This window comes from Homo sapiens, chromosome 2 (assembly GCF_000001405.40).
Source record: "Homo sapiens chromosome 2, GRCh38.p14 Primary Assembly".
NCBI classification, from domain to species: domain Eukaryota; kingdom Metazoa; phylum Chordata; class Mammalia; order Primates; family Hominidae; genus Homo; species Homo sapiens.
This window is the reverse complement of record NC_000002.12, coordinates 80,778,256-80,782,520: the sequence shown is the minus strand read 5'-3', so window position 1 is coordinate 80,782,520 and position 4,265 is coordinate 80,778,256. Positions and strand designations below refer to the sequence as shown.

The following is a 4,265-nucleotide window of genomic DNA, read 5'->3' as shown; positions in this document are numbered from 1 at the left end:
TAAAAAGATGAAATATACAGGTTTAGACAAAGATCTGATTACAGATGGTTGTAAATAAATTGTGCCATTACTGCTTAATACTGGAAAAGTATTAGTGAAAAGTGAGTCTAACTCACTTTTATATAATCTTTTAAATTTTCTTTATTATGTACCAGGAATGATAATTGAAAGAGTAAAATGTTGCTTTTTCAAAGTTATTTTTTTCTTGAGTAAATCTAGCTGGTGCCTACTACATGCACTAGAAATCAATGGGAATTACTCCCAATTATTAACTTCCTTTCTACAGTGGAAATATCATAAACTCAATGGCATTACATATACCCTCACCTACATCACCAAATACGTTTTCCATTCATTTCCCTCTCTATTTTCTAATGAGGTGAATTGGGTTAATATTGTTGAAATTGCATGACTAAACATGTGATTCCTTATAGATCTCAGATCCCTGACAATGTGCTTTTTAACATACTCCAGAAATGACTCTCTATTTATTTCCAAACAATTAAAGCTCTTTCTAGAGTTGAATTGTAGAGTGTAATTCTGGGAGAAAAACAAGACCAAAAGGTTCATTAAGGCATTCCCAGTGAAAAACATTGCATTAATTACCTAATCCCCATGTATAGAGGGGTGATACTTTTCTTTCCCTGGAGAACAAAAAGGCTACCCTGTTATTAATTACTGGGAGTTGGAATGTAAGGTGAATTACATAAAGGCAAAGGACTTAAGCAATAGGATATTTGGGTCAAATAATTAATAATACAGAGGAGTGAGGTATATGTGACTTCCATATTATGAACTACAATAGTAACTAGATGCAACATTTTTTACCCTGCAACTCTGTACCTTGAGATTGGCATTGTGTCCTGGAAGCCTCACTTGGCCGAGCAACTGGGAAATGAGATAAGGTAACTGGAGAGGAAACTGGAGTGGGGCCTGGAGGCAAAAACTCCAAAATGGCGATGAGCAGTGACGGCCCCAGAAGGTAATTGGGCATTCACTTACCCAGTGAACTGAAAAGAACAAAAATGAGTTTCCTTCTGTGATGTAGCCAGGGCACTAGAAAATCTGATTAAATGGCTCACAATCAAAAGAATGTAATTGGCCAGTTCAACAAAAATTGTTGGAATTAAAAATAAATATACACTTCTTAAGACACATGACTCAAGATAGAGCTGAAACATGCAAGGATACGTAAGTTCTATTTCTGTTCTTGTGATATGAGTTCAAGACAAAGTTTCACCAGGGTTGTTCAAGAAATTCATAAGGGTACATTCACTCAGTTATGGGAAAACCATTGAAAAAGTAGTTATCTAGGTTCAGGGTATGGTAAGTGAAAGCATAAGGTCTATTCATATCCCCCCACCCCCACCCCTTCCCAAAATTCAAGCACTTTATAGGCTCTAGAGTTGGAGCGGAGCGGCTCTTCATCCTTAGAAGCAGCTACATCCAGCTGCTATTGAACTGAGCCTGTATTGGTCAGTTCTGCTGACAGGCAGATTCAAAGGTATCTCCATTCAGGTCTTCACCACCATGAAGTTTCCCAGAGAGACTCTCACCACTGCTGTTCAGACACAAGGACCATGCCATAACCTGTCATCAGGAAAGAGACTATGTTAAAGAAGGATTTTCATCCTGTCTTATGAAGAAATTCCATTTCAATGCTGCGATAATGCAAAGTAATTCTTCTCAACCATCTGAAATCACAATTGTTCCTTTCTGGAGATGGCATGTGAAGATATTCCCAAGGTAGGAGCAGAACTTTTTTTTGTTACAAACTCCTAGGGTTGTGTTGTTGTTGTTAGTGGTAGTGGTGGTGGCAGTGTGCTTGTGTTTGTGTGCGTGTGTGTTTTGCCTCAGCCTATTGTGTCTTTTTTGAGTGGTTGCAAATAGGTTTGAGGTTATAGTTTCTATGCTTGCAGATCTATTGAAACGGGAAAATCAAGGAATGGGGTCAGCAGAAAATGGGGAGGCTATGAATGGAGCTTAAGAACCTGGCAATGTATAACCAGCACCTTGAGGGGAAACACTTAGCCTGCTTCAGCAATTTTGGGGTCATTTTAAAGCACATAGGGTGAGAAGGCAATTCAAGCATCCACTGCTGACAGATTACTCTCCCTTATGTCTTTGAGGCAGGGCAAAATTCCAAACAAATTCATGTGGTCAAGTGGAAAACCATGAACATTCTTAGGAAATCTGTCTCAGTCTTGTAGATTTCAGCTTGAAAATGCTGCCTTTCCCAACCACAGATGAAAATAGCAGCTTGTATGTTAACCAATAATTCTTTTCACCTTTGCACTACAGATTAACCTCAAAATATATAGCTAGGAAGACAACTAAGTATATTAATAGATTAAGAAGTTCAGAGAGAAAGTAGAGTAGCCAATAAAAATGAGTGTCATGATTAAACCTAATATGGTCTCTTTGTTATAGGTTCATGTAAACACACACACACAGAGTATATAATTGGCCTTTGAACAAAGGGGCTTTGAACTATGCAGGTCTGCCTATACACAGATTTTCTTCCATCTCTGCCACCTTTGAGATCATAAGACCAACCTCTCCTCTTCCTCCTTCTCCTCAGCTACTCAGTATGAAGAGGACAAGGATGAAGACCTTTATGATTATCCTCTTCCACTTCATGAATTGTAAATACATTTTCTCTTTATTATGATTTTCATAATAATATTTTTTATTTAGCTTTACTTTGTTGTAAAAATAAAGTATTAAAACACATATAACAAACAAAATACGTGTCAATTTACTGTTTATGTTATTAGAAAGGATCTCAACAGTTAGCTATAGGTTGGTGCAAAGGTAATTGCAGCTTTTTCCCATTAAAAGTAATGGCAAAAACCACAATTACTGTTTCACCAACCTAATATTCATAGATAAATTTTTGGGGAGTCAAAAGTTATATACAGGTTTTTAATTGCATGAGGTGGGGGGTGCACCTAACCCCTGCATTGTTCAAGGGTAAACTGCACATTCTACTTTTCTTGAGTTAATGGCAGAATTGCTGAGAAGTAGCCTATGAAAGAAAGGGGAAGGAATAAATGTGCATTTTGAAGAGGGGGGAAATGGTTGCAAGGAAACCGTGTTTAACATACTCCAACTACTGTTTGAAAGCTAACAAGAAGCACTGGGGCATTGGGAGGTGGTGGTAACCTACAGTCACCCATTCCCCTTCACAAGAAAAGAAGAAAAGGGGTGGGGTGAGTCCTAAGAACTCCAGTGTCTAATTTAATTAATTTAAAAATTCTAAATTATATTAGCAGAGTTCTTAAGACTAATACGTTTACTGAATAAGGATATTGAATGAGATTTTTTTAAATTGCCAAATACTACTTTAGATATTTTCCCTAGTAATATGATGGAGCACGTAATCAGAGATGTCGATGGACTTGTAGGAAGTAATTGATTGGCTCAGCTGTAGGTTTAGAGAGATCATTAATAGCCAACAAAAAGGATTTTTTTTTTTTTTTTCTGGAGAGGAGTAATAGAAGTAAGATCCAAACACAGTTTTGTGCTGGAATGTAGAGAATTTTGAATGAAAGGCATTTGGGTAATGTCTTTAGCAGGTGAAAAGGAGGATCTGGGCTAAGACTGAGACCATGGGCAAGGCAGAGAACACTGGGTGAGCAGTTAAATTACTCTGCATGCTTTTGAGAGATAATGGCAGAATCCTAGCTAGTAGAAAATGGCTTAAGCCAAGAAAGGAAATGTGTTAGCTAACATTACTGTAACTATAGGGGATCCAGAATCTGAAGCATCTCTTGAAAAGATAGTAGAGTATATCTATTAAGGCAAGGACTCTGAAGCCAGACTGCCTGCAATTAAATCCCTGTACTAGTACCTATTTACTGTGTAACTTGGAACGTGTTATTTAACTTTCAGTGACTGACTCAGTTTTCTTTCTTCTAAAATGAACATAATAACCGCTTCATAGGATTTTTGAAAGAGTTAAATAAAGTTGATATTCAAGGCACTTAGGAGAGTGTGGCATATTTGCTCTGTTCACATCAGGACTCTGTTTCTCATTTCTCCTCTCTGCTTTCTTCTAGTTGTCTTCATTCTGGCAGGTTCTTCCAATTTGGTTGCCAGCTGTCAGCTTTCAGCCCGTCCTCACAGCAACCCTAGCAGAAACACAACTTATTTTTCCCCATAGTTATAAGATATTTGACTTATTCTGATTGGACTAATTTGTAAGTCACACTCAAATCCCTGATGAGAAGGGGAGGATGGCCAGAGGATGCACTAGTCTAACT

At 37.7% G+C, this 4,265-nt stretch overlaps 1 annotated feature.

The window, feature by feature from the left end:
• Positions 3,460 to 3,961: an enhancer, noted in NCBI's record as "NANOG hESC enhancer chr2:81005685-81006186 (GRCh37/hg19 assembly coordinates)". NCBI's record gives its function as "activates a minimal SCP1, AML or CMV promoter by ChIP-STARR-seq in primed H9 embryonic stem cells {active_cell/tissue: H9 hESC(primed)}" and the evidence as "EXISTENCE:reporter gene assay evidence [ECO:0000049][PMID:30033119]".